This window comes from Homo sapiens, chromosome 7, assembly GCF_000001405.40.
Source record: "Homo sapiens chromosome 7, GRCh38.p14 Primary Assembly".
NCBI lineage: Eukaryota > Metazoa > Chordata > Mammalia > Primates > Hominidae > Homo > Homo sapiens.
Genome location: NC_000007.14, coordinates 98,999,958 through 99,011,542, shown reverse-complemented (window position 1 = coordinate 99,011,542; position 11,585 = coordinate 98,999,958). Strand labels below are relative to the sequence as shown.

Genomic DNA, 11,585 nt, shown 5'->3' with positions numbered 1-11,585 from the left:
GACCCACCTTAAAGTTTGGCTGGGCGAAGCACCGGGCGACCGCAATCATGGACGCTGTCAACGGGCCGGAGACCCCGATGGTGGTCAGAAACTCAGAAATGTTGGGCGTGAGTCGAAATGGGACAGGACGGTTGGCATCCAGGTCTCCAGTCGCGTCGTTTATGTCAAATCGAAAGTAGGCAACATTCAGTTTGCCAGTGTCCTAAATTTCAGAAGGAGACACTTTAGGAACTTCAGCAGAAAGGCGATGTCACGAGGAGAGGATCTGGCTGTTCAAAGCAGGTTACCTGAGCGATCTGTAACATCTCGGGGTTGAGTCTATTTAAATGCAGGACGAATTCCGCGAAGCCTATCAGAGCCAGCTGGATGGTGAACATCTTCCGGAACGTCCAGTAGTCCGTGGCATTGGGGAAGGTGTGCAGCGCCCACTCCTTGAGCATGCTGCGCGGCACCATGTTACTCTGAACCTCCTTGAGGATGTCGCGGAGGACCTGAAACACAGCGCTCCGTGACACTCCCATCTCACTCACTGATTTTTTTTGGAAAAGAAAAATTCTCAAATTGCAATTCCTCTTTAACTTAGCACCAAGAGCAAATTCTGTAAATTCTGGTGACAGATTTAACGCACGCATTGTTAGGAGACTGAAGGCGAGGAGGCACAAGATGGCTGTTTCCCTCCAGGGTTCGCCACTGTCTGCTCTAAAGCACCAATGCGGCTGGTCTGCGTCAAAGCTGCAGTTACCTAATATGCGATACCTGACAAGAATGCAGGTAAATATCTGAACATTTCCACCCTTGCTGACTATGGAATATATCAGGCCAATTAACAGAACACAACAGCTGGACAACAGCAGCACCACTTCCAACCAAGACTTTATACTAATGACAGATGTTTCACAAACTGAAGGAGCTGGTCTAACCACACACACCACACGAGAGACTGAACTCTGTACTAGAGACTCATAGACTACTGCAGACATCACCAACTCAGTAAGAGTTCACTCAGTTAATGGACTTCCCGTTCGACCATCTGGTACAGGCCATCTACGGGGTCTTTTCCCAGCTTAGTCCTACCCACGTGCTCTGTGGGAATGGCTGTGAGAAAGCAGGCCCTTCTGCCGGCAAGAACAAGGGAGGCCACCGGCGACACATGCAGTTTGTTTGTTTCCTCATCCGTCAAATGGGAAGAAGCACTTCTGAGACTGCAAAGGAGTTCCAAAATCTGCTCCTTAAGCAGTGAGAATGCTGGCAAAACCATCAAAATCAACTTTGTCAGAACTCTAGAAATTAAAGGCTTACAACAGTCTGGAGGAGCTTTTTTATTTAGTTAAAAAACAAAACAAAACAAAAAAGCCTGGGCTGGGCGTGGTGGCTCACGCCTGTAATCCCAGCGCTTTGGGAGGCCGAGGTGGGTGGATCACGAGGTCAGGAGTTCAAGACCAGCCTGGCCAACATGGTGAAACCCCATCTCTCCTAAAAATACAAAAATTAGCCAGGTGTGGTCACAGGCACCTATAATCCCAGCTACTCAGGAGGCTGAGGCAGAAGAATCGCTTGAACCCAGGAGGCGGAGGATGCGGTGAGCCGAGATCGCGCCATTGCACTCCAGCCTGGGCAACAACAGCGAAACTCTATCTAAAAAAAAAAAAAAAAAAAAAAAAAGAGAAGAATGAAGGAGTAGAATAAATAACAAAATAAACAAGAGGAGGAAGCGGCTCTGAAGCTGGATTCCTCTGTGCTGTGGGCATCTCCCTCTGCCTATAGGCCCTGGCAGCTGCTAAGCTGGAACAAACTGCCTAGTCGGTCACTCACGCTGTTTAGAAACAGGATGACTCTGAGGTCAGCATGTATTTGTCACTGGCTTCCACGCTGTCGAAAGTTAATGTCGCCTTAAGAATATAATCCATTCCTCTCCTGCAAATACCTCAGAACTGCCCATCATCCACAGAATGACCAGGCCATGGCCTGTGCCACAAAAAAGCCCTGGTGTCAATTCCCAAGAGAGGCCATGAACTCTGTCAACAGAGGCTGATCAGAAACAGGGATCCATGCCTCTGCCTGCACAGAGCTGGAGGCTGCACCTGATGCTGCAGCCTGGAATACCTCGGGCCCTGCCGTGCCCTGGGCCACAGAGTACACCATGGGCTCAACCTTCCTCAACCAAACTAAGTCCTCCAGGAGCCAGGAGAACTGGAACAAGTCCCTGGGTGACTCGGGACAAGGTCACAGCATCCACCTCTGTGGTCTCTCCTTCTTGGGACCCATAGAAAGGACCACGGGGCACCCAGGGAGAGGCCAAAACAGCTGCCCCTGGGTGCCCCACACAATCCCCCAAAAATCTCCCCACCTAAAGCCCATACCTGCCCTGCCTCCTACCAAGGGCAAAAACGTGCAGGTGAATGAGGGGCCTCTGTACCTCCGAGGGGCTGCAGGCCAGGGCCACCCAAGACTCCTGCGGGCACCATGCTCCGGGCTCAGGCAACCGAAACAGCTGGGCCCCATGCACTCCAGAGTCTGTCGCTTTTTGTATTTTAGAAAACAGCACACATGCTGCACATCGCCTAACACCTCCAGCAGCAGACCAGGTGAACAGGAACATGAAGTGGATGAATGAAGCCTATAAACAGCCTCCCATCACCTCAGATCAGGTGTGGCTGTCAAGTGAGCCTGCCAGAAACTTACTTTAAAATTCTAATTTCGGCGCTTCTTTGTAAGTACAGGCAGAGGGCAAGGGGCCTCTCCAAGGTCGAGGACTGACCCGTGTCTGGTCATAACAAACCGTCCACGACAAGTGTCCTCTCACCAAGGTCAATAGCTGTCTCATTTCCACCATCTCATGAGTCTAATAAAGTTACTTTAAATGACAGAGGTGGCCCCCAACAAATGCCTGTTCATCTCCTAAACACCCCTGTCTCCAGGCACTGCCCCACACAGGAGGGCTGCAGGCGGCAGCTCGGCCCCCGGCCCGGCCCCACTGCTACCTGGTGGCTGGCTTGGGTTCCCCGCGCCTGCACCGTAGCCAGCCGGTCATAGTAACGGGAGATGGGGTTGTCATGCTCGATGCCCTTCTTGGCGCAGCGCTGCTTGTAGATCTCCACAAGGGAAAGTGAAGAGGGGTTGTCCTCCACGAGGCGCATCTGTGGGGAAACTGCCACAACCCGGGGCACTGGGGAGAGAGGAAGAGAAACGGGGCAGGCTGAGGGTGACCGCGGGCCAGTGCTCAGCTCCACCGTCAGAGTGCCACTGGGAGCAGAGCTGACCCGGCTCTGTATGCCTTGGGGGCTTAGCTGGAAGAACCCGGTGGTCATGCACCATCCATTTGCTCAACAGATGGCATGAGGCTCTGACGGCACGAACTGATCGTCACCTTGTGTCCACAAACAGAAATGCTTTAGAAGGCAATCTTAAAAAGACATCTTGGCCGGACACAGTGGCTCACGCCTGTAATCACAGCACTTTGGGAGGCCACAGTGGGCGGATCACGAGGTCAGGAGATCGAGACCATCCTGGTCAACATGGTGAAACCTCGTCTCTACTAAAAATACAAAAATTAGCCGGGAGTGGTGGCAGGTGCCTGTAATCCCAACTACTCAGGAGGCTGAGGCAGGAGAATCACCTGAACCAGGGAGTCAGAGGTTGCCTTGAGCCGAGATCACGCCACAGCACTCCAGCCTGGCGACAGAGCGAGACTCCATCTCAAAGAAAAAAAAAAAAAAAAGACATCTTAAAAAAACAAAAAATAAAGGATAGCCTATAGTCCCAGCTACTCGGGAGGCTGAGGTGGGAGAATCGCTTGAGCCCAGGAGTTGGAGGCTGCAGTGAGCTGTGACTGCGCCACTGCACTCCAGTCTGGGTGACAGAGCAGGACCCTGTCTAAAAAATAAGAATAAACATGGCTGGCCATGGTGGCTCACGCCTGTAATCCCAGCACTTTGGGAGGCCAAGGTGGGTGGATCACATGAGGTCAGGAGTTTGAGACCAGCCTGGCCAACATGGCAAAACCCCATCTCTACTAAAAATACAAAAATTAGCCAGGCGTGGTGGTGCGCACCTGTAGTCCCAGCTACTCGGGAGGCTGAGGCAGAAGAATTGCTTGAACCCAGGAGGTGGAGGTGGCAGTGAACTGAGATTGCGCCACTGCACTCCAGCCTGAATGAGAGAGTGAGACTCCGTCTCAAAAAACTAAAAATAAAAAAAAACAGACTCTGCCAAATGCTCACTCTTAGAGGCTTTCCTTAATCAGAGTCTATGGGAAGAGTCCGGCCTTCCTGCTCTGAGACAGCTGCTGTCTAATGATGCAAACTTGTCTTTCAGCACCTAGGACGGCTGTGCCCCATCTTTGGAGGAGGAAAATCATCCCTCAGGTCATCTTCTGTGTTCTGTCCACATAAGGAAAGCAACCAGCATCAACCTGATCGTCTAGCCCCATTAATGTGTAAATCCCTGTCCACACATGGTGACCAGTACTCTGTTCCCAATCACCATTCGGTATTGGAGATGCAGTTAATCTACAACCTGCCAGACAGGATGCTAACCTGCACCGAAACCACTGTGGTCTGAGTCAGCTGGAGGCGGCAGGAGCGCTGGGCGACCACTCCAGAGCCTGTCTCCCCAGTGACGTCACCTTGGGGAGCAGCACCAGACTTGTGTGCAGTTTCTCTTCCAAAAGTGGGATAATAGTACCTACCCCATAGGGTTGTTTGTGGATTAAATGAGATAATACTTTGTGAAGATACTAGGTTCAGGGAATATTCAGATATCTTGTTGCAATGAAGTTGGAGGGAGCTGAAAGATTTCCAGAAGATGGCAGATTAAGCCTGCCCGGTGAGGGTCCCAGTGGCAGCTGTGTCCCAGCCACTGTAACCCCTGACGTGGAGTCAGGGGCATGTGAAGTGCACACAGATGATTCTGACTTCTGTGAACCAAGTGGCTGATTCTGTCTAATGTCAGTTAAGCCACAGCTGATGGCTTGCTGTCCTGGCGTCTACCCATAAAGAAATCCCCAAATGACTCCAGGACACACATTAGGACCACCATTCTGTGCTGACCAAGCATTTGGAAGCAGAGAAATCAATAACCCACAGCTGGAATCAACACTACAGGTCATGTTATATACATGTTAAAACATACACAGCTTTCTGTGATGCATTTTGAGCTTTCTTTAGGCTTTTAAAAAAATCTTATTTTGAGATATAAAAAAATTAAGGGTCAGAGATTTCAGGTCAAAAGGGGCTGATCACAGCTTTGGTGGCAAAAGAAAGTTCCATAAAGGACTAGATAACATACATTGCAGCGGGCTCCCGACTTCAGGGATTACATGCTAAAAAGTCATCAAAGTGGCTCTCTTCTCTGGATAACATTATAAGCATCTCATCTACGTGCCGGTACAATCAGGCCACTCACGATAACTCAGTGACAAAGACTTCATTCAGAGGTTGCTTATCAGCTATTTGTGTCCCCCTGGCAATTTCTGTGGCCTTAACAGGGCAGCTAGACTTTCCCGAGTCCTGCATTTCACCCAGGAATGAAATTCAGGGAGGGCCCAGAGTGCAGCGTGTGAAGCAGCTAGAGGCGCGCTGGAAACCTGATGCATGCTGCTGCCTCGCTGGCGCCCAGGCTCGGCCGGGGTGGTTTCACTTCTCCTCCCAGCAGCCTGGGTTCCCGGGAGGAGAAGCAAAACCGGCAGCACCCACTGAGACGCCCCAGCTCTCCAGGGGCCCACTCCGTAGAGTGCAAAAGACCTTAGAACAGGGATGTCCAATCTTTTGGCTTCCCTGGGCCACATTGGAAGAATTGTCTCAGGCCACACATAAAATACACTGACACGACAGGTGATGAGCTAAAAAAGAAAAAAAAAAAGAAAAAGAAATCTCATAATGTCCTAAGAAAGTTGACGAATTTGTGTCGAACCACATTCAAAGGCATCGTGGGCCCCATGGAGCCCGCAGGTTGGACAAGCTCGCCTTAGAGGAAAGGTGGACACAGCTCTCATCTCTCAGTGAGAAGCCTGAAGGCCTGGAGCTGCTCCTCTTCCTGAGGCCTTCCCTGGTCAGCACAGACTACAACATTCTCTGCTGACGCAGCTGGACCCTCAAAGGCTAACGTGAGCTGCCTGTGCACCCCACGAGGTGTGGCTCTCATCCCCACCTGTGAAGCTGCCTGTGTACCCAGCGAGCTGTGGCTCTCAACCCTACCTGTGAAAAACAAGTGCCTCTTGGTGGTCTCCTTTCTCTTCTCCAAACAGGGGTTCAGCAGACGCAGCAGCTGCAACACACGCTCCTCTCGCCGTGACTCTGTGAGGCAGGCGTCGTTCATGACGAGGTATGGGTAGATCTTGCCATTGTGTCCCCGGATGTACAGCCGCCGGGCTGCGGTGTTGTGCTTCTGCACAATCTCTACCCGGGGCATGAACCTGCCAGAGCGAGAAGCCATGAGGACATGCCCTGCATCTCTGCTACCAGTCCTTGTCTTGAGAAGAAGCTAGGAATGTCCGAACTGTCACGGGAAAACGGACTGTGTAGGCCAGCGGTCGTTTATCAATTTATTTGTACCCTGCCTCACCCTGATGCGGTGTAAATGAGTCACAATATTTTCAATTCAGCAGCCACGGACGGAAGTCAAGGAGGAGGGAGAGCTGGCCAGGACAGGAGCCAGATTTGGAGGAAAGGGCAACTAAACTCTGGACATATAGAAAAGCAGAGCTGTGTCTGGTTCAGAAATAAAGACGAAACACACTTTTTGTTAAAAGAAACCTCTTCAAAGCCCTTTCAGCATTTCAAATGAGATGCAGCACACTCTAGGAAATGCTACAATCATCTGATTCTGCCTCAATACTGTGCTTCGAGGATTTACAAGAGTGGGACACACACTGTTTTGTCAAGTTCTATGGTGACTCGGAAGAAGGTCTGCTGAATGCAAACCCAGACTGCACTCAGGACAGCTAACCAGTCAGCGCGGGCAGAACTTGTAAAGTGCCTGACCACTTACATTCCAGAATCATCTTATGTTCTCCCATGTCAGGGAATCTGTGTCCAAAATTCCCCACAGGGTCCACCCTGGAGCTCCCATGGGGCTCCATGTCCATGGGCGCCGTGGGTTAGTTCCACCTGCCAGGCTGGCCCACTCACCGTGCAATCTTGATGTAATAATGCGTTGGCTTTGGCATCAGAAACTCCCCAGGAATTTCCACTTCAGCTGTCTGTGCCGAGAAATTGCTCAAGAACCGGCACTTTTCCTCTATGAGGAAGAATTTGGGGAGTTGCTTGGTCTTGGCCTCCAAGATTTTGATCCACTTTTTCAACTTAGAAATAAGATTATGAAGCTTCATGGATCCTGGAACGCTGAAGTCAAAATCTTAAAAATAAAACATGATTAAAAACGTTTTTAGTCATCTGGGCCAGTTCTAACACACTGCAAAAAACGCTCAAGCCCCTACCAGCTACGAATTACATGTTTTGTTTGTTTGTTTTGAGATGAAGTTTCACTCTTGTTGCCCTGGCTGGAGTGCAGTGGTGCGATCTCCGCTCACTGCAACGTCCGCCTCCCGGGTTTCAGTGATTCTCCTGCCTCAGCCTCCCGAGTAGCTGGGATTACAGGCACCCGCCACCAGGCTTGGCCAATTTCTTTTTCTTTTGTATTTTTAGTAGAGACAGGGTTTCACCATGTTGGCCAGGCTGGTCTTGAACTCCCGACCTCAGATGATCCGCCCACCTCAGCCTCCCAAAGTGCTGGGATTACAGGCGTGAACCACTATGCCCAGCCGAATTACACGTTTTATACATGGTGTGGAGCAAAACATTTTATGTCCCTTGCTCCCCAAGAGGCTGACAGAACAAGAGAAGCCCCGTCAGGGACCTCCCACCGCGTGGAGAGGAAGAGGAAGAGAGGAACCACCAGCCTGAAACCCCATCCCCAACCCCACAGGCCCTTCCGGGAACAATGCCGTTGAGGCAACGTCTACCTCAGTGTGTGAGGCTGGGGCCCTGGGAGACACAGGAGCCTGAGGGCGGCCTGTGAAACCCAACAACCAGGAGCCCGTGTCACCAGGGCCTGAAGACCAGCATCCAACGGCAACCCCGCCTCTGAGCACAAGTGTCACACGGAGCCCTAGGTCTCGTGTCAAAGCTGATATTGTAATCAAAGTGAGCCTAAGGCAACGGAAACGACCACCCAGGAGATAGATCCTAAATGAGCCATGAGAAGGAACTAATGCAGGATACCAAAATGGCAAAAGCCAAAAACATTTTTCACTGAAGCAATTCAAAAATCCCTGGTTAATATATTTCTCAGGCCACTCATATTAAAATGTCTTTCTGTAGAACGCCTCGACTTCCTCCCAGACGAGCGCCAGTGCTGGAAGGAGCCTCGTCACCCTAACTCACCAGGGCGACTGGAGGTCAGGACGAACCCAACCAAAACTGCAGCAAAGCAGGGGCCCTGGGGGAGCCACGAGGAGGCACCGTCCCCAGGGCTGGCGTCCTGAGCCCAAATGGAATGCTGGCTGAGTCGTGGCGGGAGACATGCCAGCTTAGACCTTGGAGCACGCCGCTGAACCTCTTAGGGCCTCACTTTTCTAACCCGTGGTATAGGAACGGGAATAATTTAACACCTGCCCCGAAAGGATGAAATTAAACGAGGCAGCGCACATGAGGCGCTGGGCATAACACCCAGCTATTCAAGTGGCCTGACCATCCCTGCCCACGCGTGATAACACCCAGCTATACGAGTGGCCTATTCCTGACCATGTCTGAACTTGGCTGTCCACAAATGTCATTGGTTTCATGAAAGCCAATGTATTTTGTGTGTGTGTGTTTTTTTTTCATAGCACTTGTCTGGTTTCCCTTTCATTTTAAGCTCTGTGGCACCTCCCTCCTCTGCATTCCTCACAGTGCCAGGACTCCACACAGGCAGGTGGCTGGACAGGCTGCTGTGCACCAAGGTGAGATCCCCCAGCAGAGCCGCGAGAGACAGAGGCCACCACCAAGGACGCAGGCCACCTCATTGTTCCCTCTCCACGCTGGACCAAGAACGTGCTGCCAAGCTCATGCCTGATCTCTTTTTAACTTTTATTCTGAAATTCCTAGAGATTCACAACAGGATGCAAACAAAATATACAGAAAGTCCCATGTACTCCTAACCCTCTTCCTCCCACACCAGCATCCTATGCAACCCAGTGCGATGCCAACACCAAAAAGTGACATTGGCACAGTCCAAAGAGCTGAAGAGCTGATTCAGACTTCACCAGTTATGTGTGCACGTGTGTGTGCGCACATGTGTGTATGCATGCGCACACCTCTGGTCATGTCACTGTGTGGCCTCGCAGAGCCACCAGCACAATCAGTTGCTGAGCTGCACCATCAGCACGGGATGCCCTTGGCTGCCCTTCACAGCTACCACCCACCCCCACCACCCCACCCCCCCGCCTCTCCCCTGCATCCCGAACACCTGGCCAGCATGAATCCCTTCTCCGTCTCCACTGTGGTATTTCACAATTAAGAATCCCTCAGTACACATCCAAGTTGGCTTTTTGCACTCAGCATGATTTCCTGGAGGTTCACCCACGTTACTGTGTATCAATAATTAACTCCTCATTGCTGAGGTGTTTCTAATGTATTCAATACCTTCTGAAAGGGCATCTGCATGGTTTCCAGTTTTGAGCTATTATAAATAAAGTAACAAAGGCTCTGAATATTTGTGTACCAGTTCCCACATGAATGGAAGTCTTCATTTCTGTGGGATAAATGGAGTGCGCCATTTCTGAGCTTTCTTCCACCTCTTTACAGACATGTGGTTGGCAGCCCACACATGCAGCTCTGCTAGAGAATCGGACTGCATTCCACGAACGGAACACAGACAAAGAGACAGAAACAGCCTCCCCTGTGTACAGGAGAGCGGAAGGTGGATGAGCTCTGGCTGTGCGTGTCTGAGACCCACTGCACTTTGAGATGAGTCAGGAGCCTCATGCTGACTTTTTCCAGTTTTGGTTTTGTGATTTTTTATTTTTTTTTACATCAAAAGCCAGAAGATCTATCCCATTTCTGATTCTCTACTTTTTTGATTTAATAATGTGGACATTTTAAGATAAAAGCATGCTGAATACCACCATTTCTTTCAAGTAAAATATGATTTCCATAAAACTTTCATCTCGGACTCTTCCGTTCTCAGAAGGGTGAAAGACCACACATCACACACACTTCACAATAAGCCTGAGGAGATGAAAGCGCTTCACGTATAGACGGGGAGGACCGGGCTTGCCCTTCACTTTTCAAAGAGCACCTCCCTCAGCTGTGGGTTCACCTAAGGCAAGCCCAACCCACACATCACGAACAGGGAGCTGCGCCCCCAGACTGCCTGGAGCAACTGCAGGGCACACGCCACACTTCAGCTGGATGCAACCTCGATGCAACCCTGGTCACAGCTATGGCTGTTGAGTGTCCTTTCCGATTAAGGAGATGAAGATTTTCTTTTATGTGACTTAATATTAACTGTGTCATCTAGGACACAATGAGTCTTTAGGAGATTCTTTGAATACCACACATGTGAACCACTTAGTCTACGATTTAACCCATCAGTGAAGAAAGAACGTGGCAAAGATCATTACAAAAGCGCTAAGTTGGGCACTGCAGGGCAGCTGGAAGGTATGGTAGGGACCACACTCTGGGTGTGCAAGGCAGAGAAGGGGGCCGGGCCAGAACTGCTCAGTGGGCTTCGATCCCCCAAACTCGAGACAGGGTGCCCCCAGCCCAGCCTGGCCACGACCCTTCAGGGTGCTGATGAGGAAGGGAAAGGTGTGGGCCCTGCTCCTTCAGGACACCCCAGGCTGGCCCATTGCTCACAGGCCCACACAGCGCCCTCTGATCCCAGCGCTGGGGCAGAGAGCTAGGCTGCGGCCTGCCCCACTTGTTGGTCAGTTGCCCAAGTGACGCCGGCTGGCGAGTGCTGGAGACGGCGGCAGTGGCATGCTGAACCCAGACCAGGGCTGGCCCCAAGGCTGGAGTGCGCAGAGTGTGGCCTGGAAGAATGAAAAAGAGTTTCGCAGGCTGGAGGGAAACACTGTGGAGGAGGGGCTTCCCTCACTGGGGTAGCAGTTTCCGGCTTGCCCCACATGGCAGGATTTCCATAGTATATGTAGTATGAGTTCTACATCTTGGCCTGTTACCCGGCTTTGGCAGTCTCATCTCCACCACCTGGAGAATAAATGGGATCTGCACGAACTCCACTCTAAACTGAAATACATGGCCGGGCAGTGACTCACACCTGTAATCCCAGCACTTTGGGAGGTCGAAGTGGGTGGATCATTTGAGGTCAGGAGTTCAAAACCAGCCTGGCCAACGTAGTGAAACCCCACCTGTACTAAAAATCAAAAATTAGCCAGGTGTGGTGGCACGTGCACCTGTAATCCCAGCTACTCGGGAGGCTGAGGCGGGAGAATCACTTGAACCTGGGAGGCAGAGGTGGCGGTGAGCTGAGATCACGCCACTGCACTCCAGCCTGGGCAACAGAGCAAAACTCCACCTTAAAATAAATAAATAAATAAATAAACAAACTGAAATACAGATTGCGGTGCTGACATCCTTTTTTTCTGA

General features: G+C 51.1%; 1 protein-coding gene across 3 annotated transcripts in view; it reads right to left on the bottom strand.

Moving 5' to 3' along the window:
- TRRAP (transformation/transcription domain associated protein) overlaps positions 1-11,585 on the bottom strand; it is a 134,710-nt gene that overhangs the window by 1,699 nt on the left and 121,426 nt on the right. For all 3 annotated transcript variants that reach the window (NM_001375524.1, NM_001244580.2, NM_003496.4), the window contains 5 exons: positions 7,128-7,353; positions 6,195-6,412; positions 2,982-3,166; positions 288-491; positions 8-202 (listed from right to left, as the gene is read on the bottom strand). In NM_001375524.1, the coding sequence (NP_001362453.1) occupies positions 8-202; positions 288-491; positions 2,982-3,166; positions 6,195-6,412; positions 7,128-7,353 (1,028 nt within the window). The remainder of the gene's footprint in view (positions 1-7; positions 203-287; positions 492-2,981; positions 3,167-6,194; positions 6,413-7,127; positions 7,354-11,585) is intronic.